Source organism: Homo sapiens, chromosome 4 (genome assembly GCF_000001405.40).
Source record: "Homo sapiens chromosome 4, GRCh38.p14 Primary Assembly".
Taxonomy (NCBI): domain Eukaryota; kingdom Metazoa; phylum Chordata; class Mammalia; order Primates; family Hominidae; genus Homo; species Homo sapiens.
This window is the reverse complement of record NC_000004.12, coordinates 56,340,380-56,366,324: the sequence shown is the minus strand read 5'-3', so window position 1 is coordinate 56,366,324 and position 25,945 is coordinate 56,340,380. Positions and strand designations below refer to the sequence as shown.

At 38.7% G+C, this 25,945-nt stretch overlaps 1 protein-coding gene and 1 pseudogene across 14 annotated transcripts in view; one reads left to right on the top strand and one right to left on the bottom strand.

Moving 5' to 3' along the window:
• Positions 1–25,945, top strand: part of AASDH (aminoadipate-semialdehyde dehydrogenase) — a 49,202-nt gene that overhangs the window by 21,167 nt on the left and 2,090 nt on the right. For 4 of the 14 annotated variants that reach the window (NM_001286668.2, NM_001286669.2, NM_181806.4 and 1 more), the window contains 9 exons: positions 10,902–11,143; positions 11,514–11,620; positions 12,114–12,286; positions 12,729–12,921; positions 14,868–14,983; positions 16,267–17,062; positions 21,035–21,198; positions 22,641–22,763; positions 23,359–23,490. In NM_001286668.2, coding sequence (NP_001273597.1) covers positions 10,902–11,143; positions 11,514–11,620; positions 12,114–12,286; positions 12,729–12,921; positions 14,868–14,983; positions 16,267–17,062; positions 21,035–21,198; positions 22,641–22,763; positions 23,359–23,490 — 2,046 coding nt within the window. Of the gene's footprint in view, positions 1–10,901; positions 11,144–11,513; positions 11,621–12,113; positions 12,287–12,728; positions 12,922–14,867; positions 14,984–16,266; positions 17,379–18,590; positions 18,708–21,034; positions 21,199–22,640; positions 22,764–23,358; positions 23,491–25,945 lie in introns of those variants that run through there. The other 10 variants (NM_001323893.2, NM_001323892.2, NM_001323890.2 and 7 more) reach the window with 9 other exon arrangements.
• Positions 9,336–10,212, bottom strand: RPL7AP31 (ribosomal protein L7a pseudogene 31; annotated as a pseudogene).

Below are 25,945 nucleotides of genomic sequence, written 5' to 3'. Positions count from 1 at the left end.
AGTTTGAGAAGGAATGGTACCAGCTCCTCCTTGTACCTCTGGTAGAATTCGGCTGTGAATCAACCTGGTCCTGGACTTTTTTTGGTTCGTAGGCTATTAATTATTGCCTCAATTTCAGAGCCTGTTATTGGTCTATACAGAGATTCAACTTCTTCCTGGTTTAGTCTTGGGAGGGTGTATGTGTTGAGGAACTTATCCATTTCTTCCAGATTTTCTAGTTTATTTGCATAGAGGTGTTTATAGTATTCTGTGATGGTAGTTTGTATTTCTGTGGGATCGGTGGTGATATCCCCTTTGTCATTTTTTATTGCATCTATTTGATTCTTCTCTCTTTTCTTCTTTATTAGTCTTGCTAGCAGTCTATCAATTTTGTTGATCTTTTCAAAAAACCAGCTCCTGGATTCATTGATTTTTTGAAGGGATTTTTGTGTCTCTATTTCCTTCAGTTCTGCTCTGATCTTAGTTATTTCTTGCCTTCTGCTAGCTTTTGAATGTGTTTGCTCTTGCTTCTCTAGTTCTTTTAATTAAGATGTTAGGTTGTCAATTTTAGATCTTTCCTGCTTTCTCTTGTGGGCATTTAGTGCTATAAATTTCCCTCTACACACTGCTTTGAATGCGTCCCAGAGATTCTGGTATGTTGTGTCTTTGTTCTCGTTGGTTTCAAAGAACATCTTGATTTCTGCCTTCATTTCATTATGTACCCAGTAGTCATTCAGGAGCAGGTTGTTCAGTTTCCATGTAGTTGAGCGGTTTTGAGTGAGTTTCTTAATCCTGAGTTCTAGTTTGATTGCACTGTGGTCTGAGAGACAGTTTGTTATAATTTCTGTTCTTTTACATTTGCTGAGGAGTGCTTTACTTCCAACTATTTGGTCAGTTTTGGAATAGGTGTGGTGTGGTGCTGAGAAGAATGTATATTCTGTTGATTTGGGGTAGAGAGTTCTGTAGATGTCTGTTAGGTCCGCTTGGTGCAGAGCTGAGTTCAATTCCTGGATATCCTTGTTAACTTTCTGTCTCGGTGATCTGTCTAATGTTGGCAGTGGGGTGTGAAAGTCTCCCATTATTATTGTGTGGGAGTCTAAGTCTCTTTGTAGGTCTCTAAGGACTTGCTTTATGAATCTGGGTGCTCCTGTATTGGGTGCATATATATTTAGGATAGTTAGCTCTTCTTGTTGAATTGATCCCTTTAGCATTATGTAATGGCCTTCTTTGTCTCTTTTGATCTTTGTTGGTTTAAAGTCTATTTTATCCGAGACTAGGATTGCAACCCCTGCCTTTTTTTGTTTTCCATTTGCTTGGTAGATCTTCCTCCATCCTTTTATTTTGAGCCTATGTGTGTCTCTGCACGTGAGATGAGTTTCCTGAATACAGCACACTGATGGGTCTTGACTCTTTATCCAATTTGCCAGTCTGTGTCTTTTAACTGGAGCATTTAGCCCATTTACATTTCAGGTTAATATTGTTATGTGTGAATTTGATCCTGTCATTATGATGTTAGCTGGTTATTTTGCTCATTAGTTGATGCAGTTTCTTCCTAGGCTTGATGGTCTTTACAATTTGGCATGATTTTGCAGTGGCTGGTACTGGTTGTTCCTTTCCATGTTTAGTGATTCCTTCAAGAGCTCTTTTAGGGCAGGCCTGGTGGTGACAAAATCTCTCAGCATTTGCTTATCTGTAAAGTATTTTATTTCTCCTTCACTTATGAAGCTTAGTTTGGCTGGATATGAAATTCTGGGTTGAAAATTCTTTTCTTTAAGAATGTTGAATATTGGCTCCCACTCTCTTCTGGCTTGTAGAGTTTCTGCCGAGTGATCAGCTGTTAGTCTGATGGGCTTCCCTTTGTGGGTAACCCGACCTTTCTCTCTGGCTGCCCTTAACATTTTTTCCTTAATTTCAACTTCGGTGAATCTGACAATTTTGTGTCTTGGAGTTGCTCTTCTTGAAGAGTATCTTTGTGGTGTTCTCTGTATTTCCTGAATGTGAATGTTGGCCTGCCTTACTAGATTGGGGAAGTTCTCCTTGATAATATCCTGCAGAGTGTTTTCCAACTTGGTTCCATTCTCCCTGTCACTTTCAGGTACACCAATCAGACGTAGATTTGGTCTTGTCACATAGTCGCATATTTCTTGGAGGCTTTGTTCATTTCTTTTTATTCTTTTCTCTCTAAACTTCCCTTCTCACTTCATTTCATTCATTTCGTCTTCCATCACTGATACCCTTTCTTCCAGTTGATCCCATTGGCTACTGAGGCTTGTGCATTCATCATGTAGTTCTCGTGCCATGGTTTTCAGCTCAGATCCTTTAAGGACTTCTCTGCATTGGTTATTCTAGTTAGCCATTTGTCTAATTTTTTTTCAAGGTTTTTAACTTCTTTGCCATTGGTTCGAACTTCCTCCTTTAGCTCAGAGTAGTTTGATCTTCTGGAGCCTTCTTCTCTCAACTTGTCAAAGTCATTCTCTGTCCAGCTTTGTTCCATTGCTGGTGAGGAGCTGCGTTCCTTTGGAGGAGGAGAGGAGCTCTGATTTTTAGAGTTTCCCGTTTTTCTGCTCTGTTTTTTTCCCATCTTTGTGGTTTTATCTACCTTTGGTCTTTGATGATGGTGACGTACAGATGGGTTTCTGGTGTGGATGTCCTTTCTGTTTGTTAGTTTTCCTTCCAACAGTCAGGACCCCCAGCTGCAGGTCTGTTAGAGTTTGCTGGAGGTCCACTCCAGACCCTGTTTGCCTGGGTATCAGCAGCGGTGGCTGCAGAACAGCGGATATTGGTGAACTGCAAATGCTGCTGCCTGATCGTTCTTCTGGAAGTTTTGTCTCAGAGGAGTACCCAGCCGTGTGAAGTGTCAGTCCGCCCCTACTGGGGGTGCCTCCCAGTTAGGCTACCCGGGGTTCAGGGACCCACTTGAGGAGGCAGTCTGCCCGTTCTCATATCTGAAGCTGCATGCTGGGAGAACCACTACTCTCTTCAAAGCTGTCAGACAGGGACATTTAAGTTTGCAGAGGTTGCTGTTGCCTTTTGTTTGTCTGTGCCCTGCCCCCAGAGGTGGAGCCTACAGAGGCAGGCAGGCCTCCTTGAGCTGTGCTGGGCTCCACCCAGTTTGAGCTTCCTGGCTGCTTTGTTTACCTACTCAAGCCTCGGCGATGGTGGGCGCCCCTCCCCCAGCCTCGCTGCCGCCTTGCGGTTTGATCTCAGACTGCTGTGCTAGCAATGAGCCAGGCTCCGTGGGCATAGGACCCTCCGAGCCAGGTGTAGGATATAATCTCCTGGTGTGCCGTTTGTTAAGCCCATTGGAAAAGCGCAGTATTAGTGTGGGAGTGACCCGATTTTCCAGGTGCCGTCTGTCACCCCTTTCTTTGACTAGGAAAGGGAATTCCCTGACCCCTTGGCGCTTCCCAGGTGAGGCGATGCCTTGCCCTGCTTTGGCTTACACACGGTGCACTGCACCCACTGTCCGGCACTCCCCAGTGAGATGAACCTGGTACCTCAGTTGGAAATGCAGAAATCACCCGTCTTCTGCGTCGCTCACGCTGGGAGCTGTAGACTGGAGCTGCTCCTATTCGGCCATCTTGGCTCCACCCCCAGGGTTCATCTTTTCTCTCCTAAGTCCAGTTTCTTTCAAATGATATATAAGTCATCAAGGATTTTTGCTTTGATATAATATACACTTTTTTATTTACTAAAGCGCTCCTTATATAGATTTTATTTACAAATAAAAACCTTACCCAGACCTAATTGGACATGAAGCAGGGCTCTTAAATGCTGTCAAGGCCAGGCACGGTGGCTCACGCCTGTAATCCCAGCACTTTGAGAGGCCAAAGTGGGTGGATCACCTGAGGTCAGGAGTTCAAGACCAGCCTGGCTAACATGGCAAAACCCCGTCTCTACTAAAAATACAAAAATTAGCCAGGCATGGTGGTGCACACCTGTAATCCCAGCTACTCAGGAGGCTGAGGCAGGGGAATCTCTTGAATCCAGGAGGTGGAGGTTGCAGTGAGCCAAGATTACACCACTGTACTCCAGCCTGGACAACAGAGTGAGACTTAGTCTAAAACAAACAAACAAACAAAGAAAAAAAAAGCTGTCAAAACACATACTACTAAAGCTTTGGAAATTGAAAAGAATAGAATATCTTGAGTTACTGTGGGGGGAAAAAGGCCTCCAAAGTGAAATGGACTAAGCTTTGGAGGAAATTAAAGACCTCTTTTATTTGTTTCAGGAATAAGGAGTTTCTTGGGAAATAAAGGATTGATTTTTGGTTTATCACAAACCTAAAATATATTTGGACATTTTTTATTTACATACTCTTGGTAACAAAGTTATATTATTTAAACTTGATGCCCTTTAAAACTTTTTTGTTTTGAGACAGGGTCTTGCTTTGTTACCCAGGCTGGAGCACAGTGGCGCCCTCACAGCTCACTGCAGCCTTGACTTCTGGGGCTCAAGTGATCCTCCCACCTCAGCCTCCTGAGTAGCTGGGACCACAGGTGCATGCCATCATGCCTGGCTAATTTTTAAAATCTTTTGTAGAGACAGGGTCTCCCTGTGTTGCCCAGGCTGGTCTTGAACTCCTGGGCTCAAGCAATTCATCCCACCTCAGCCTCCTGAAGTGCTAGGATTACAGGCATGAGCCACCATGCATGGTCTAAAAGTAAAACATTTTAGAGTAAAATATTAGGTTGATACCTAGGAATGTGTCAGCATAATAATGTTTTCCATTTTTCCTGAGTTTTTCCTTAAAAAACTCGGAAGAAATTTTAACATTCCCTATTTTTTCTATTATCTACTAAGTCTCATTTTTGTATGTCTAGAATGATTTACTAGCAAAGGATGCTGACTTGTATTCTGCCCCTCAATTTAGCATTTCAGTTTATGAGTATCTGAAAAGTATTTCAATTTTTTTATTTTTCATTTTTTATTTTTTTGAGATGGAATCTTACTCTGTCACGCAGGCTGGAGTGCAGTGGTGTGATCTCAGCTCACCGCAACCTCCACCTCCTGGGTTCAAGTGATTCTCATGCCTCAGCCTCCCAAGTAGCTGGGAATACAGGTGTGTGCCACCACACCCTGCTAATTTTTGTATTTTTAGTAGAGACAGAGTTTCACCCTGGCTAGGCTGGTCTCGAACTCCTGACCTTAAGTGATCTGCCCGCCTTGGCTTTCCAAAGTGTTGGGATTACAGGCGTGAGTCACCACACTCGGCCTCCATTTTTTTTATTTTGCTGAGTATTCATAGATGTGTGTTTATTTATTGAGTTCAAAGTTGATATTATACTTAACACCAGAAGTTAGGCCACAACATTGAAATTCGGCTTAGTGAAAATGAAGAGCCAGGACCATTTTAGCCCCTATTTTGACAAGAGATTTTCATTATGATAAACTTCTTGGCATAACAGGTAAGAGCATGGTTTAGGATGCCTTATAGTGTTGCCATCATAATTTATTACTAAAAACCAGAATCTTAACTGGGACATAAGTACCTATGAGGGTGTAGAGTCATTCTACTATGTAAATGTTTTGACAAGCCATGATCTTAAATCATTTTTCTGAATTAAAATTCAGGTTGTCTGTTACAACTCCGTATGGATTTTATTGAGAGAAACAATTTAAAAATCTTTATTCCCATGTGACTTTTGGCTCTGGCCAAGTGAAGAGATTAACAGATTATCTTCCCCAAAAAAGCAACTATAAAGCTGGACAAAATGGAAAAAAAAACAATCATTTCAACATTTGGAAATCAACCAAAGACATATAGCAATCTTAGAAATGTTTATGTTTTTTAAAACTGCTGAATTTTGTGTAAAAATAGTGGAACTTCGTGGCATTCTGGTATGGGTCTGCTCCTATCATCCCCACCCCAATTCAGTCAACACACAGATTCTGTCTGTTTGAAGGGGCTCACTTAATTTGTAATAGTCAGTAATGCCCATGACCAGCTGCAGCATCTGTGGAAATGATGATCTTGAAGTAGGCCAGTAGGGAGCCCTACAGCTCCCTAGCCTGAGAGGTCAACAGCTCTTCTAGCCTGAGATTGCAGTGGTGGTGGGATAAGCATATTCCTGGCTGAGGTTGCACTCATGTGAATCAGAGACCAAAGGACTGATGCAACTCCTGACTGAACCTGAGGCTGTGTTCATGCACATAAGAGACAGAAAAGGGCCCATAGAAAATAAAAGATGGATCAGGCTTGAAAATGACCTGAACTTTGAATGAGCTCCCCTATCCACATACAGATTTGGGACAGTAAGTACCTACTGGGATGTAGAGTCATTCTACTTTATAAATATTTTATAAGCTGTGACCTTAAATCATTTTTCTGAATTAAACTTCAAGTTGTCTGTCCAACCATTCACTTGACAGACTTTCCACATTTGGACAGTCCACACTTGGACAGTCTGTCTAGTGATCATTGATTGATCACTTGCTTTCTACACATGGGATGACTCATAAGAACTCAGACTTAAAAAGGAGAACATCGGCCGGGCACGGTGGCTCACACCTGTAATCCTAGCACTTTGGGAGGCCGAGGCGGGTGGATCATGAGGTCAGGAGTTCAAGACTAGCCTGGCCAAGATGGTGAAACCCTGTCTCTACTAAAAATACAAAAATTAGCTGGGCACGGTGGTGCATGCCTGTAATCCCAGCTACTGAGGAGGCTGAGGCAGGAGAATCGCTTGAACCTGGGGGGTGGCGATTGCAGTGAGCCAAGATTGTGCCACTGCACTCCAGGCTGGGAGACAGAGTGAGACTCTGTCTCAAAAAAAAAGAACATAAGGCCGGGCACGGTGAGGTGACTCACGCCTATACTCCCAGCACTCTGGGGGGCCGAGGTGGGAGTATCATCTGAGGTTAGGAGTTCGAGACAAGCCTGGCCACACCTCGTCTCTACTAAAAAAATGCAAAAAAATTAGCCACACATGGTGGCAGGTGCCTGTAATCCCAGCTACTCAGGAGGCTGAGGCAGGAGAATCACTTGAACTCGGGAGGCGGGAGGCAGGAGGCAGGAGGCGGATGTTGTGGTGAGCCGAGATTGCGCCACTGCACTTCAGCCTGGGCAACAAGAGCGAAACTCTGTCTCACAAAAAATAAAAAGAAGAACATATATTTTTTAATAAACAACTAAGCAGCAACATCAGTGGCCACATATATGAGGGGAGACAGACTTCATGGATTTAGTCCAGGCAGGTTACTAGCAAAGAAATGCACTAGCAAAAAAAAAAACCAAAAACAACAACAACAAAAAAAAGCAAGCAACAATAACAATTTTATAAGGATAAGATTGTCAGTATATCAATAAGTACTTTGTTATATCAATAAGATGTAACAGTTATACATGTATATCCACCTAAAACTTGCTTCCAAATACATGAAACAAAAATGGACAAAATTGAAAACATAAGTAGACAACTCAATGGTTGGAGATTGTAATACCCCACTTTCAATAATTGATTGAAAAACTAGACAGAAATCAGCTAGTATCGAAGACTTGAACAACATTATCAACCAAATGCCATATATGGAACACTCCATCCAATGATTGCAGAATTCTTTTTAAGCACATTGGCACATTTCATAGGATAAGTCATATGCTAAGCCACAAAACAAGTCTCAGTAAATTTAAAGGTGACCATGTGGGATTTATCCCAGGAATGCATGTTTGGTTTAACATCCAAAAATCTATTGATGATGTATACTACGTAAAGAATAATGAACAAAAAGCACATACCTATCTTAATGGATGCAGAGAAAGGATTTGGCAAAATCTAACACCCATTTATGATTTTTTAAAAAGCTCCTAACAAGCTAGGAATAGAAGGGAACTTTCCCAATATGAAGAAGGGCACCTACAATAGAACTACAGGTAATATGACGCCATACTTGATAAAAGACTGAATGCTTTGACCCTAAGATTGGGAACAAGGCAAGCAAGTTTGCCTTTGCCACTTCAACATTCTGGTGGTTCTTGCCAGTACAATAAGGTAAGAAGGAAAAAAACTAAAGATACTTACATTGGACAGGAGGAAGTACAACTCTTTATATGCAGTTGATGTGATCCTGTATATAGAAAATATTGTAGAGGGGTGGGGCTGGTGAGGAGGACTACTAGAAATAATAAAGTTTAGTCAGGTTGGAGGATAGAAGATCAATATACAAAAATCAATTGTATTTCTATATATATATTTGTACATATATATGTATATGTATTAAAGAAAAATCTAAAAATGAAATTAAGATAATATTTACACTAGCATCAAAAAACAATAAAATAGGAATAAAGCTAAAGAGCAAGATTTGTACACTGAAAACTATAAAGCATTGTTGATAGAAATTAGAGACCTAAATAACATTTTGTCTTTATAGATTAGAAGTTTTAATATTGTTGAGATTGCATTTCTCCCCAAATTGATCTGTAAATTAAACACACTTCCCAGCAAAATCCAGTAGGCTTTTTTGTTAGAAATGAATAAGTTGATCCTAAATGTTATATGGAACAGTGAAACCCAGTCCTGATCCATACTATAGAATACCACTTAGCAATAAAAAGGAATGAAACTGTTGATACACTTAGCAGCATAGATGAATTGTATCTATTATGTTGAGTGAAAGAAGGCAGGCCAAAACAGGCTACTTATTTTATGATTCCATTTATATAAATGGAATATATAATTTCTATTCATAATTATATATAATTATATATATAATTTATATTAATGGAATTATACAAGATTATTCTGATCTGTAGCGACAGAAAATAGATCAGTGGTTGTCTGGATAAGGGGTCCAGTTGGAGAGGAGACTAACAGTGGTACACAGGTAGTTTTGGGAGTGATAAATATTGCTGTCATCTGAATGTTTGTGTCTCTCCAGAATTCATATGTTGAAATCTAATCCCCAATCTGTTGGTATTAAGATGTGGGGCCTTCAGGAGATCACTATGTCATGAGGGTGGGAACCTCATGAATGAGATTAGTGCTCTTATAAAAGAAGCCTGAGGTTGCTTTTTGGTTCCTTCTACCATGCGAGAACACAGCAAGAAGGTACCATCTATGAAGTAGAGTACTCACCAGACACTAAGTCTGCCCATACCTTGATCTTGGACTTCCCCATCTCCAGAACCGTCAGCACTACATTTCTTACCTAGTCTACAGTATTTTGGTTATAGTAAGCCAAATCAACTAAGACAGTTATGTTCATTATTTTGATTGTGGTGATGGTTTTACTAGTATATACATAAAACATATTAAATTGTATACTTAAAATAGTTTATTATATGTCAGTTATATCTCAATAAAGCTTTTGTTATAAATCTTTATTCATTATTGTTTTACTTAGGCACATTTTTAAAGGAAAATTTCTATTATTTTAATTATTTTTATTTACAGAAAACTCAGCAGTGTACATTTAACCCAGTTTAGTGGCAGGTTCTTTAGCGTTTGCCTTTTCGAGCTTGGCGATGCGAGCCACAGACTTGGGAGCCAGGACATTGCCGCCCCAGTGACGGTGGATCTCATCGTATCTGTCATTGTAATTGGTCCTAATAGCTTCCACTAGCTTAGCCAAAACGCCTTTGTCTTCCAAGTTAACCTGTGTGAAGGCGACAGTGGTACAGGTCTTCCTGTGGACTAGACATCCCAGTCTTCCCTTCCCCTTGATAATGCAATAAGGGACCCCCATTTTATGACACAGGGCAGGCAAGAAGACAACCAACTCGATGGGAGCCACGTGTGCAGTCACCACCAGCTGAGCTTTCTTTGTTCTCCACCAAGGTGTTGATGGTGTTAACTCCTGCTCGAAGGACAGGTGGTCTCTTACTGGGGACATCCCCTTTGCCAGCAGCTTTCTTCTCAGCCCAGGTCAACAGCCTCTGCTTCTTCTCTTGCTTTGTCTCTGGTCTGTACTTGTGGGCCAGCTTAAGCAGCTGAGTAGCTGTTTGGCGGTCCAGGGCCTGGGTGAACTGGTTAATCGCAGGAGGCACTTTCAGCCGCTTATTGAGGGATGGCTCTCTGCCGCTGCAACCTGATAGAGCAGGGCTATTTCACAAAGCTGGTGAGGTCTCTTTTGGGCTGGATGTCTTGCTCAGTGCCAAAATTCTTAGGCCTTTTCTCAAACAGGGGATTCACCACTTTCTTGTCCTCCTGCTTCTTCACAACAGCAGGGGCCAGAGCCACCTTCTTTCCCTTGGCCTTTCCTTTTGGCATCTTGGACGGCGGGAGGAGAGAGCTACTTAGGCACATTTTTAAACCCTTTTGTATACTTTTTATACAGAGTAAGAAAGGAAAGGTAAATTGATTTTATAGATTTTGTCCTTTTTATCCTAAACCTTTTTGTGTAATCAGTATGATGAAATATAAGTAATATTTTTGCTTGAGTTTTTTTCTAAAGCATAAGTGATACCCACATTAGGAAGATAATGTTGGGCCAGGCATGGTGGCTCATGCCTGTAATCCTAGAGCTTTGGGAGGCCAAAGTGGGAGGATTGCTTGAGCCCAGGAGTCCAAGACCAGCCTAGGCAACACAGGCCCCATTTGTACAAAAAATTTTAAAAATTAGCTAGGTGTGGTGGTACGTGCCTGTAGTCCCAAGCTGTTCAGGAGGCTGAGGTGGGATGATGACTTGGGCCTGGGAGGTTGAGGCTGCAGTGAGCCATGGTCATGCTATTGCACTGCAGCCTGATCAACAGAGTGAGACCCTGTCTCAAAAAACAAACAAACAAAACCAAAAAAAAAAAAAAAAAAAAAACAAGAAGATAATGTTGCACCAGTAGTTTTCCAAATGGGATTTCCCATTTGATAAACACAGCCTTCATTTCCATGTGGGCTCCAAATGTTAACTTTGAAATAATAACTACAGTGCTTACCTTTTTAAAGAAGTGAAGGAAAATAAATAAATTATTTTTAATGTATCTACAGGCAACACCAACATTGCTTAGAAGATTTGGATCTCAGCTTATCAAGTCAACTGTTTTGTCAGCCACTACTTCTCTTCGAGTATTAGCCCTTGGTGGTGAAGCGTTTCCATCATTGACAGTTCTCAGAAGCTGGAGAGGAGAAGGCAATAAAACACAAATATTTAATGTTTATGGTATCACAGAGGTATCAAGTTGGGCGACCATTTATAGGATTCCAGAGAAGACTCTTAACTCTACTCTCAAGTAAGGGTTTTCATTGTACTATATAGAGAAGAGAGACTGTATATTTCTAGGATCTTAACACTGACAGTGTTTTTGATAGGTGCTGGGGTAATAATTTTAGAAACACGATTGTATCTGATATTTTAAGTTGGGAATCCAGAACCTTCCTTACTATAGCTGGTGCCAAGATACTGCTGCAACTTTTTGTACTAAATAGTAATGAATAACATATATGGTTACCTTTCCACCTAACCTTTTCCTCTTGTCAGTCTTTGAATTAGAGCGTAACAAACTTTTTTTTCTTTATTTGGTACAGTATGATTTAAATATATTGGAAAATATTCTATTCAAATGAAAAATTTTAAATCTGCTCTGTATCTTATTTTCATAGATGTGAATTGCCTGTACAACTGGGATTTCCACTTCTTGGAACAGTAGTTGAAGTCAGAGATACTAATGGCTTCACAATTCAGGAAGGCAGTGGCCAAGTATTTTTAGGTTGTTTTATATTTGTTGATTGGGAATTTTTTTTTCAAGAAAAATGATCTGATGTGTTAATTTTATTCCTTTCGTCTTTTTCTTTTGTCTATCTCATGCTTTTCAGTGATAATTTTTATTCTCATTCATATAGTCATGAAATACCAAATGTTACAATAATTATTTCAGATAATAATGTCTAACACATTAATAAAAGTAATTTAGAGACTGTAACTTGGACCTTCATATTTATATTTATAGCCAAAATTATATTTAATCAGTAGTCTAAGAATTTTTTTAATTCCATAAATTTTAAGAAATAAATTTCATTTTATCTCTGCTTATTTACTGAACTTATTGTGTCTGATTTTATCAGATAACATTTTAAAATGAGCCCATCTTTTAATATTTAAATTTTGAAGTTTAGTCACTGAACTTTTGGAGATGTTGATTTTATGGTTTTTAATATATTTCCCTTGGATTTTTATGACATTGGTGTTTATATCTTGGGAAGGTGGCAGAAACAGAGTGTGTTTTCTTGATGATGAAGTGACAGTACCACTTGGCACAATGCGAGCTACAGGAGACTTTGTGACTGTGAAAGATGGAGAGATTTTTTTTTTGGGACGAAAAGACAGTCAGATCAAACGTCATGGCAAACGTCTTAACATTGAACTTGTGCAACAGGTAGAACTATTTAAATATTGAATATCTATTAATATATGTAAGTAGTAGAAGCAGCCACCACCAATTTTCTGTGCTGGGGTCTCTATTATTTACACCTGACATTTTTGTGTTAGTGATGAATTACAATAAAGGGTATGAATAATTCAGGGTGCCCCTTATCCCCAGCATGAAGAGATGGTTATTCTTTAAATAAGTGACAAATTAGATTTTGATATTTGTGAAATTTAACTGGCTTATTTTGCTTTAGGATCTATTATTTTGAAAAATATTATGAACCCTATGTGCAAGTAATAGTAACAGTAGCAAAGCAATTTTTTAAAAATCTCCAGTATATTCCAAAATTTAATTCAGCTGTTTTGATTTCAGACATTAAAAAAATAAGCTTTTAGGAAGCTTGTTTGTAAATATCCTCATTGGCAAATTAGGATAATCTCTCTTATAGGTTGCTGAAGAGCTTCAGCAAGTGGAGTCTTGTGCAGTTACATGGTATAATCAGGAAAAATTAATTCTCTTCATGGTGTCTAAAGATGCTTCAGTAAAAGAATACATCTTTAAAGAACTGCAGAAATATCTTCCAAGTCATGCAGTCCCGGATGAGCTTGTATTGATCGACTCTCTACCATTTACATCCCACGGTAAAGTAATTTAAAGCAGATATGTTTCAGTGCCAAATAATACTAATTGTATTCATAACTAGCTTAATGATAACATAAATCTTTATTTTTATAAATGGTACTAGCATTTATTGTGATAGACCCTCTTTTGACTGCTTTGTCTAATTAATTCATTTTATCTTCAGAAAATCCTGTGGATAGGTGGTATTATTCCTATTTACAGATGAAGAAAATAAGGCTTAAAGAGGTTAAGTAGTTAGGTGAGGCATGGTGGTCAGCGCCTGTAGTTTCAGCCACTCAGGGAAGCTAAAGTGGAGGATGCTTGAGGCCGAGAGTTTGAGGGCACAGTGTGCTATGTTTGTGCCTGTAAATAACCACTATACTCCAGCCTTGGCAACATCTAAAAAAAAAAAAAGAGGTTAGGTAATTTTCCAAAAATCATTTTGCTAGTTAGTGGTTATATTAGTATAGTAGTCATGGTTCTCCAGAAACAGAACCAATATATAGATAGATAAAATATTTATTGTCAGGAATTTGCCCATGCAATTATGGAAGCTAAGAAGTCTAATATCTCCCTTTGGCAAGCTGGAGACTCAGGAAAGTCGGTGCTGTATCCAGTCTGTGTCCTAAGGCCTGAGAATCAGGGGAGCTGATGATATAAATCCCTGTTTGAGGACAGGAGGAGATGAGATGTCCTAGCTTAAGCAGTGATGCAAGAAAAAGGGTGCAGGCCAGGGGCGGCAACTCGCGCCTATAATCCCAGCACTTTGGGATGCCAAGGCAGGTGGATCACTTGAGGTTGGGAGTTTGAGACTGGCCTGGCCAAAATGGTGAAACCCTGTCTTTACTAAAAATACAAAAAAATTAGCTGATTGCAGTGGTGCACGCCTGTAGTCCCAGCTACTTGGAAGGCTGAGGTGGGAGGATCGCTTGAACCCAGGAGGCAGAGGTTGCAGTAAGCCGAGGTTGCGCCACTGCACTCCAGCCTAGGCAACAGAGTGAGACTCCATCTCAAAAAAGAGAAAGAAAAAGCATGCAAATTCTTCCTTTCTCTGCCTTTTTTCTATTTTGGCCCTCAACAGTTTGGATGATGCCCAATCTACTTTACTGAGTCCTTAATTAGTTTCATCTACTAATCTCATCCAGAAGCACCCTCACAGACCCAGTCAGAAAAATGGTTAATCTGGGCACCCTGTGGCCCACCCACATTGACACATACAATTAACCTATCACAGTGATAGAATTGATATTCTGTCTAGGACTGTTTTTTATTTTAATTTTATTTTTATTATTGTTTGTTTTGTCTGTCTAGGACTGTTTGACTTCAAAATATATAATCTTAATCACCATATTATATTGCCTTCCCAATTTCATTTTTATTTAATATATACTTCAACATGCAGTAATTGCTCAGGTAATGGAACTATTTCCTTAACTCTTGAAATTGAGATAAATTGGATAAATATTAGCTCCTTTTTTCCTTTTTCTTTCTTTTTTTTTTTTTTTTGGAGATAGGGTCTCACTTCTTCACCCAAGCTGGAATGCAGTGGTGCAGTCAGGGCTCACTACTGCAGCCTCAACTTCCTGGGTTCAAGTGATCCTCCCATCTAAGCCTCCCGAGTAGCTAGAACTACAGGCCAATTTTTTAATTTTTCTGTAGAGACAGGGTCTTGCTGTGTTGCCCAGGCTGGTCTTGAACACCTAGCCTCAAGCGATCCTCCCACCTCAGCCTCCCAAAGTGTTGGGGTTACAGGACTGAGCCACTATGCCTGACCTGTTTCTCATCTATTTCTCTGTATATTCTTGGTAGTATCAGACAACTTTTTAGAATTGATTGTTGACAACAAACTCTTTATATGATTTCTGTGTTGTACAAAGAAAAATGTATATGGCTAATGAATATATAAAGGCTTTGAGTGAAATTTTAAAATGTTTTAAAACATTTGTTATTTCTCTTTTATATTAAGGCAAAATTGATGTTTCTGAGTTAAACAAGATATATTTAAACTACATAAACTTGAAGTCTGAGAATAAGCTCAGTGGGAAAGAGGACCTTTGGGAAAAATTACAGTATTTGTGGAAGGTACAATTTTTAAGTTATAAAATTATTATTATAAAGAGGTCGTTTTATATCTTTAGGGACTGCTATTATCCTAACAAGTTGGATAAAATTTTCTGAGAATGTTATTGCTACCCAGATGTTAGGTAGTATATCTTCATTTATCCAATTTGTATTAAAATGAAGGTTAGATTCTCTACTATAAGACTAGATTAAGTTTCCGACAAAGAAATTTATTGAAAGTGAAGTAGTCATAAAAGGCACAAGTAGACAAAGCCTGTTTTGACATAACTTTTCTCTAAGAGGATCGGTGGAATGTAGTAACACTCTTGTCAGAGCTGAGAAAATAGCCAAATCTTGCTATAGCACAGTGCGTTGTCTGTTATACTTAGGGCTTACATCATTATTCTAAAAGAACTTTCAGTAACAATATTTATTTCTACTTGAGAGAGTTTGTTTAAAAATATATCTCAGTAAGTTAATAATTTTTCTTAAATAAAATGTAGATTTTTCTTTTTTAAAGGGTTCTGAAAAGAGGATGTAATTGTGTAGCCTTGTCTAAAAATAGAGGGTATCTAAGATAAAAGTCTCTTCTACTTCATTTTTAGATTCTTGGAAAGTAATTTTGCTTTATATGAAGCAGCCAAAGACAAATTATTCCCATATTATAGAAATATTGGCTATTGGTATCTTGTGGGCTTTATAATTAATAAATCAGATGTTTTTGTCCCAATTTTATGGGTAAGAAAACTGCTCTAAAGGGAAGTATATTTTGTACTTTTAGAGTGAATTTGTGACAAAATTGGTAGTACAGTGATCTCCTTTAACATAAATAAAATAATTTAAAACTTTATTTTTATTATTAAAAGTATTTATTTTATATTTCTAATTGTTATTATTATTATTATTTTTGAGATGGAGATTCACTCTGTTGCCCAGGCGGGAGTGCAGTGGCGCAATCTTGGCTCACTGCAACCTCCACCCCCTGGGTTCAAGCGATTCTCTTGCCTCAGCCTCCGAGTAGCTGAGATTACAGGTGGCTACCACCGCACCCAGCTAATTTTCGTGGTTTTAGTGGAGGTGGGGTTTCACTGTGTTGGCCAGGATGGTCTCGAACTCCTGACCTCATGTGATCTGCCCGCCTTGGCCTCCCAGAGTACTGGGATTACAGGCGTGAGCCACTGTACCCGACCTATATTTCTAATTATTAATGTAGGTACTCTCATCTCTATATATTACCTGTAAATGTTGAAGTCTTTTGCTTTTAGACCTTTACGTCACATATTTCTCTATTCTCTCATCTGTAGTCTACTCTGAATCTCCCAGAAGATCTTTTGAGGGTTCCTGATGAGTCACTCTTCTTAAATAGTGGTGGAGATTCCTTAAAGTCCATCCGGCTCCTCAGTGAGATTGAAAAACTTGTTGGTACATCAGTACCTGGGCTTCTGGAAATTATTCTCAGCAGTTCCATTTTAGAGATTTATAATCACATCCTTCAAACAGTGGTTCCAGATGAAGATGTGACATTCAGGAAGAGTTGTGCCACAAAAAGGAAACTCAGCGACATTAATCAAGAGGAAGCCAGTGGAACATCTTTACATCAGAAAGCCATCATGACTTTCACTTGCCACAATGAGATTAATGCTTTTGTTGTACTGAGCAGAGGGAGTCAAATTTTGTCTCTGAATTCCACTAGGTTTTTAACAAAGTTAGGACATTGCTCTTCAGCCTGTCCTTCTGACTCAGTTTCACAGACCAACATTCAAAATTTGAAAGGCTTAAATTCTCCAGTTCTTATTGGGAAGTCAAAAGATCCATCCTGTGTTGCAAAAGTTTCTGAAGAGGGGAAACCTGCGATAGGGACTCAGAAAATGGAGTTACATGTGAGGTGGAGGTCAGACACAGGCAAATGTGTAGATGCTTCACCGCTGGTTGTAATACCCACTTTTGATAAGTCATCTACAACTGTGTACATTGGTTCCCATTCTCATAGAATGAAGGCAGTTGACTTTTACTCTGGGAAGGTAAAATGGGAACAGATTTTGGGAGATCGAATTGAATCCTCAGCATGTGTATCTAAGTGTGGAAACTTTATTGTGGTGGGTAAGTTTTTGAATTTGAGGTTTGTGGAGTTAAATTGAATTACCATACAATAATCTTCATAGGCCCAAGTTAAATTTTTTAAAAATCTAAATATGATGGGTTTGGTTGCTGTCCAAAAATTATAGTTAACCCTGTGCTGATTAATATTGTGGGCCTTGGGGTCAAGAGTCCCTGGATTTGAACCTACCTGTATAGCTATTATGAACTCTGTGACCTTTGGCAAGTTACTGAACCTCTTAGAATTTCACTTTCCTTGTGGGTAAAATGGGAATAATAATAAAATGTGTTGCTGTATCACAAATACCCCAAAACTCAACAACCTAGAACAACACAAATTTATTGTCTCATAGTTTCTATGGGTCAGCAATTCAGGAGCAGCTTAGCTGGCAGTTCTGGCTCAGGGCTTTCACGTGGCTATAGCCATCTGAAAGCTTGACTTGGGTTGGAAAATCTGCCAAGGTAGCTCATTTACATCACTATTAGCAGAAAGCCTCAGTTCTTTGCTGATTCTGGCAGGAAGCTTCAATTCTTGCCACATACGCCTCTCTCTAGGCTGCTTGACTGCCCTTACAACATGGCAGCTAACATTCCTCAGAGTGATCCAGGAGACAGCAAGTAAAGAGGAACAGAGTACCTTTTATGACCTAGCGTTCCAAGTTCCATACCATCATTTTTTGTTTTCTTCTGTTAATTAGAAGGGCATAACTCAGCCAGGCGCGGTGGCTCACAGCTGTAATATCAGCACTTTGAGAGGCCAAGGTGGACAGATCGCTTGTGCCCAGGAGTTCGAGACCAGCCTGGGTAACATGCAGAAACTCTGTCACTACAAAAAATACAAACATTAGCTAGGCATGGTAGTACATGCCTGTAGTCCCAGCTACTTGGATGGCTGAGATGGGAGGATCACTAGAGCCCAGTAGGTTGAGGCTGCTGTGAGTGGTGATTGTGCCACTGTACTCTGGTCTGAGCAAGCAGAGCAGGACTCTGTCTCAAAAAAAAAAAAAGTGCATAACTCAGTTCAGGCCACATTCAAGGGGAAGAGAATTAGGCTCCACCTCTTGAAAGGAAGTACATCAAAGAATTCATGTACTTTTTTTTTTTTTCTTTTTTTTGAGATGGAGTCTGGCTCTGTTTCCCAGGCTGGAGTGCAGTGGCGCGATCTTGGTTCACTACAACCTCCACCTCCCGGGTTCAAGTGATTCTCCTGCCTCAGCCCCCTGAGTAGCTGGTATTACAGGCACATACCACCACACCCAGCTAATTTTTGTATTTTTTGTAGAGATGGGGTTTCACCATGTTGGTCAGGCTGGTATTGAACTCCTGACCTTGTGATCCACCTGCCTCGGTGTCCCAAAGTGCTGGGATTACAGGTGTGAGCCACTGCACCCGGCCTCCTGGACATATTTTAAAACACTAGAATCTTTTATCAAGCTTTTGGGAGGATTAAATGAGATAACTGTTTATGAATCAATTGGTGCATTGCTAGGGACGTGCCACCACACCTGGCTAATGTTTGTAATTTTTGTAGAGACAGAGCTTCTGCGTGTTGTCCAGGCTGGTCTCAAACTCCCGGGCTCAAGCGATCTGCCCACCTCAGCCTCCCAAAGTGCTGAGATTACAGGCGTGAGCCACCATGTCTGGCCTGGTGAGCATTTTTTCATAAGTGCTCATTAAGGGTTAGCTACTAACTGCTGCTTAGTTTCATTAAGGTATAGGTGACTTTTACTCTATTAGGAATATGGGGGTCCTGGGTATAATATCTCCCCCTGACTACAACTCTCTTTTTACTCTCCCAAGTATGTTAGGTTTCATTTTATACGCTCATGGAATCTTCATCAAAGCTTTTCAAACTAAAGGCTTAGGAATAGCTTTCCCTACTTGTGCTATCCTAGCAGCAATCTACTTGAATCTGAATGTGATTCTTCCCTTCTTCCCCTTTAAACAACGGCATTTTGAAAATTATACTACAGAACACTTTCAGTAATACACCTGAATGATAAGAAACTGCTGAATTGTTTCCCAAAGTGATAAAGTGTTTTGCATTTCCACCATCAATGTGTGAAAAGTCCAGTTGCACCACATTTTTGCTAGTACTTGGTATTGTCAGCTTTAACTTTTTTTTTGTTATAGCCGTTGAAATAATCATGAGTGGAATTTTATTGTGGTTTTAATTTGCCTTTCCCTAGTGACCAGTGATGTTGAGCATCTTTTTTTTTTTTTTTAAGACAGCGTCTTGCTCTGTCACCCAGGCTGGAGTGCAGTGGCGTCATCATGGCTTACTACACCCTCGAACTCCTGGGCTCAGGTGATGCTCCCACCTCAGCTTCTGGAGTAGCTGGGACTACAGATACACCACCACACCTGGCTAATGTTTGTAATTTTTGTAGAGACAGAGCTTCTGTGTGTTGTCCACGCTGGTCTCAAACTCCTGGGCTCAAGCGATCTGCCCACCTCAGCCTCCCAAAGTGCTGGGATTACAGACGTGAGCCACCATGTCTGACGAGCACCTTTTCAAAACCTCATTTGCTCTCTGTGTATCTTTTGTGAAGTGTCTATTGAAATCTTTTTCCCATTTTTAAGTTTTTTAAATTGAGTTTTAAGAATTGTTTTATGTATTCTGAATATAAATCATTTATCAGATATATGTTTTGCATGTTTTCTCTCAGTCTGGGGCTTGTGTTTTATTCTTTTAGCGTAGTGACATAGTGTCTTTTGAAGAGGAGTCCTTTATTTTGATGAAGTCCAATTTAATTTTTTTAATGGGTCATGCTTTTGGTGTCATCTTAGCAATCTTTGCCTAACCCAAGGTCAAAAAGATTTTCTTTTGTATTGTCTTTTGGAATTAAACTGAATTGACAGAAATCTTTACCCAGGTGAGTTCTGGGGTGCTCTACTATGTAGGACATTTCTCTTTGTCATCTCTGAGCTGGCCACTACTCTCTTGCTACTAAATAATAACTGCCAGGGGAAAAAAAAGCATAAAAAGTACATTGGGAATTGGGCCTCAAATGAGTGGCAGCGGCCATAGGCAGAGCTGTCTAGAGAGTGGGCATCAATGAAATTGCCCTAAATAGCTGTCCCCAAATTCTACTTCTCCTGATTTTCATGATCTCCAGGGAATTTGAGTGACCTTCACTTTGTACATTTGAACCATCTCTACTTCCAGTTAGGTTATTTTGGCTACACCAAGGTCAAGGACTCCTGCCCTGTCTTCTCATCCATAGCAGCAATTTGGGAAAAGCAGTTTAGTTGTTAAGAGCATAGGCTCTGGAGATTGACTTCTTAGATTCAAATCTTGGTTTGCCACATATGAGCTGTGTAATTTTTCCCCAGTAATTTAGTCTCTCTGTGCTTCAATTTTGTTATCTATAAAATGTGGTTATAATAGTACTTACTTCACTGTGGGGATTAAATGAATTAATAGATGTAACATACTTAGAATAACGCCTGACACATAGTAAATGCTCAATGAACATTGACTATTAACGTTAGCACTTCTTAAACACCTTCTATGCACTGGGCATTTGTTCACATTATCTGAATTGTTGCAATAACCCTGGAAGTAGATGACTCCACATTCTGCAGATGAATAATTTGGGGCTTAGCAACACTGGGTGATTTAAATGCCCAGTGACAGTCGTGATGAAATCTGAATCCAGATGTGTCAAAAATCTCTCTCCACCACAGTGTACTTTATTATTTTTTCAGTAGTGAAGCGCTTCTTAAAAATAAGTATGTAAAAAAATTAGTGAAGTACTTTTAAAAGATAAGATACACCTACTAAATAGATATTTTACATAAGTGATTACTAATTCAGTTTCTGCTTTACATTGCTAAAATGTAAGCCAGATGAGCTTATCATAGAGCCTATGTATAAGAGGAGGACTGAATATAAATTGCATGCTGTAGGCTAAAGAATTATTTTCCAGTAATATATCTATATCAAATCTTTTGTGCTTTGTTTCTTGGTAGGCTGTTATAATGGATTAGTTTATGTTCTGAAAAGTAATAGTGGAGAAAAATACTGGATGTTTACTACTGAAGATGCTGTCAAAAGCTCGGCAACCATGGATCCAACCACAGGACTCATTTACATTGGATCTCATGACCAGCACGCATATGCTTTAGATATTTATGTAAGGATTGACCTCAAATTAGCTGGGCATGGTGGCGCATGCCTGTAATGGTAGTTACTCCAGAGGCTGAGGTGGGAGGATTGCGTGAACCTGGGAGGTGGAGGTTGCAGTGAGCCAAGATTGTGACAGTGTATTCCACCCTGGGTGACAGAGTGAGACTCTATCTCAAAAAAAAAAAAAAAAAAAGAAAGAAAATTCACCTCATTAGTCTAATACCATAAGCATAGAAGCATTAAATTTCAATACTTAGAAGAAGAGTGAGTAACTGTCAGGTGTAGTTGAGCCTTGGAACAGGTATTAACTATTTCCCAAGCTTGTGTGGTCTGGGAAGAATAAAGCATTAATTAAGTCTTAATATCTTAAGACCTTTTTAACTTCATTACCAAATTTACCACAAATAAGTGTGCTACTCAGAGTTTTGGAATTAAAGAATTTAGGATTATCATCTTGACAGTAGAAAAAAATGACGAAGATATCAATAAGATGTTTTAAGACCTGATTACATAAAAATTAAAATGTTATGTAAGAATTATGAAATTAAGCTGGGAAAATTTTTGAAATAAATGTAAAAAAAGTGGAAATTCATTTATATTTATAAGTATTAATGAAAATAAAGATCAAATACAAATTAATAAGACAAATGTAGAGCAGATAGAAAAATAAACAAGGGACATAAATACACAGGACCCCAAAGAAGAGACGGCTAGTAAATGTATATAAATAGTTCATGAATTTAATAATCAAAGGAATGAAAATTAAAAACTCTTGAGATAAACAAATGGTGTTAGATTAGAAGACATATTCATCATAACATTAAATGCTGATGAGAGTGGTAAGAGGTTGTAACTAGTGAGGCCTCTAATGAAAACGATTTGACCATAGGTAACAATATCATATCCTTGATCCAATAAAATTCGTTTTTTAGAAATCCTGGCAAAAATAATCAGAAACATAGTCAAATATATGCATTAAGATGCCTATTTCTAAGTTGTTTATAATACCTAGAAATTCCAAAAAACGTTCAATGATAAGGTAGAGAGAGAAATTATTTATGTTCATATGGGATATTATGGATTAAAATTATATTTAAATCATTTTACAAAATCAGTGAGCAAAATATGATACCAAGTTATATATTCAGAATGATCTCAGCTATATTAGATCGTGTGTGTGTATATACACATATTCTCAGATGTGTGCGCCCAGACACACACACCCATACCCCAAAAAGATCAAATGAGAAAATGCTAAAATGTTAACACTGGTTGTCTCTGGGTAGTGTCCTTTGTCTTTATACTAATCTGATTCTCCACAGTAGGCATGTACTTTATACTAAAGATAAAAACTTATATTAACTAAACAGACATAATATCATGAAGGGTAGGTTATATGGATTTGTTAACCATCAACAAGAACAAATTAATTTGTTTTCTTATTTGCAGAGAAAGAAGTGTGTTTGGAAGTCAAAATGTGGAGGAACTGTCTTTTCCTCTCCGTGTTTGAACCTGATTCCACATCATTTGTATTTTGCTACATTGGGAGGACTTTTACTGGCTGTAAATCCTGTAGGCATAAAATAATACATATTGATTTTATTACTTTTCTTTAAATTTGTAAAATTTTTGCTTTGAGCTTTGAAAGTTTGAGTAGTTTTCAGTTAATTGTAGTAGTCCACATACACCAAACTGGAATTCATTAAAAATGATTGACATGAGATCTAGAAAGATAAGAAAATTTAAATTCCTGTATATATATATATATGTATTTTTTTGTTTGTTTGTTTGTTTTTTGACAGAGTCTCCCTCTGTCACCCAGGCTGGAGTGCAGTGGCGCAATCTCAGCTTACTGCAACCTCTGCCTCCCAGGTTCAAATTGACAAAATTTTTTTCATCATATTAAGAACTTTATGTCCATCACAGGGATAACTCTTAGGTGCTAGTTTTTTCTTTGCTGCTTTTATTGCAAGCCTTTTTCCTAGTTCTCATAAATAGCACTGATTAATTTTATATATGTATACCAGCTTCATTTATGTCTGCATACCACTACAGCATTTTCTGCTATTTTAGTTCTAACCCTAGGAGATGTATGAGTTTGTTTTTTAAAGGGTAACTGATTAGTAGGATGACATAAAATGCTGTGAATTGCTTTTTCCTGTGACAGGCTACTGGGAACGTTATTTGGAAACATTCCTGTGGAAAACCACTCTTCTCTTCCCCACAATGTTGCTCACAGTATATTTGTATTGGCTGTGTAGATGGGAATTTACTCTGCTTTACTCACTTTGGAGAACAGGTAATAGAACTAGAAATTTTTTATATATACATTTTTATATATATATAAATGTATATATAAAAAATAGAACTAGAAATTTTATATATCTATAGTTCTATTTATATTTTTTAAATTTACTTTTCTTAAAGGCAAAGCAGATGGTGACAACTGAAGTAACATTTTAAACATCATTATTCAACTCACGGTGTTGAGAAGTAGTTCTATTTTAATTGTGAAGCCATGGATTTCTTAATTTTTTAAAGAAGACATAGTAGATTTAAAAGATTTCTACCCAAACATTGTTACACTTCTTTTGTCATCTCCCCCAATTTTTAAAATATTACCAGTTTTTAGCCTGTTTTATTATAACTTCTATTGAGATTATGAAAGTTTAAATAAAACCCCTGGATTCTTTTAATTGATACAGACATTTGTACCTATTTATGGGGTATGTATGTGATATTTTGTTACAATCATAGACTGTGTAATGATTAAGTCAGGGTGTTTGTGGTGTCCATCACCTTGAGTACTTATTATTTCTATGTGTTGGGATCATTTCATGTCTTCTCTTTTAGCTGTTCTGAAATATACAACATATTGTTGTTGGCTGTAGTCATCCTACTCTGCTACTGAACATTATAACTTATTTTTTCTTACTATATGTTTTTACCTATTAACTAACCTGTTTTTATTTTTTTATTAGCCAACCCACCCCAACTTCTTTTTTTTTTTTTTTTTTTTTTTTGAGACAGAATCTTGCTCTGTTACCAGGCTGGAGTACATTGGTGTGATCTTGGCTCACTGCAACCTCCGCCTCACGGGTTCAAGCAATTCTCCTGCTTCAGCCTCCCGAGTAGCTGGGACTACAGGCGCATGCTGCCATGCCTGGCTAATTTTTGTATTTTTAGTAGAGACGGGGTTTCACCATGTTGCCCAGGCTAGTCTCGAACTCCTGACCTCAAGTGATCCACCTGCCTCAGCCTCCCAAAGTATTGAGATTACAGGCATGAGCCACCACGCCCGGCCCCCAACTTCTAATATTCCATTTTCTTCCTCCCTGAGATCAACTTTTTTAGCTCTCACATATGAGTGAGAACATGCAATATTTGTCTTTTTGGGCCTGGCTTAATTTCACTTAAGATAAAAATCTCCAATGGCTGGGCATCATGGCTCACGCCTGTAATCCCAGCACTTTGGGAGGCCGAGGTGGGAGGATCACAGAGTCAGGAGATCGAGACCATCCTGGCCAACATGGTGAAACCCCGTCTCTACTAAAATACAAAAAAAAAAAAAAAATTAGCTGGGTGTGGTGGCACATGCCTGTAGTCCCAGCTACTTGGGAGGCTGAGGCAGGGGAATCGCTGGAACCCGGGAGGTGGAGGTTGCAGTGAGCCAAGATTGTGCCACTGCACTCCAGCCTGGTGACAGAGCGAGACTCTGTCTCCAAAAAAAAAAAAAAAAAAAAAGATAAAAGTCTCCAGTTCCATCCATGTTGCTGCAAATGACATGATTTCCTTGGTTTTTATGGCCTGATAGTATTTCACTGCATCTATATATACTACATTTTCTTTATCCACTCATCCATTGGTGGACACTTAAGTGCATTCCATATCTTTGCTCTTGTGAATTGTGCTGCAGTAAACATGGGAGATGGGAGTGCAGGTTGTCTCTTTGATATACTGATTTTTTGTCTTTGGGTAAATAGTAGTAGGACTGTTGGATATGATAGTTCTCTTCTTAGTTTTTTGAGAAATCTCCATACTGTTTTCCACAATGACTACCCTAATTTACATTCCCACCAGCAGTGTAAGTTCCTTTTTCTCCACATCCTTGCCAGCATTTGTTATGTTCTTTTAGTAATAGCCATTTTAACTTGGTAAGATGATATCTCATTGTGGTTTTGATTTGCATTTCCCTGATCATTAGTGATGTTGAGTGTTTTTTTCATATACCTGTTAGCCATTTGTATGTCTTCTTTTGAGATATGTCTATTCATCTCCCTTGCCCACTTTTTAATAGGATTTGTTTACTGTTGTGTTGTTTGAGTTCCTCATATTCTATATATTAGTCCCTTGTTGGATGAATAGTTTGCAAGTATTTTCTCCCATTCAACAGGCTGTCTCTTCACTCTGTTGTTTCCTTTGCTGTGCAGAAGCTTTTTAGCTTAATATAGTCCCACTTAACTATTTTTGTTTTTGTTGCCTATACTTTTTAGGCCTTAGCTATAAAAGCTTTGCTTAGACCAGTGTCCTGAAGTGATTCCCTTATGTTTTCTTCTAGTAGTTTTAACTAGTTTTAGGTCTTAAATTTAAGTCTTTAATCCATCTCGAGTTTATTTTTATATGCAGTGAGAGAGAGGGGTCTGGTTTATTCTTCTGCATGTAGAGAGAGCTCCAATTTTCCCAGCACCATTCATTGAAGAGGGGTGTCCATTCCCCATTGTGTATTTTTGACATCTTTCTCAAAACTCCATTGG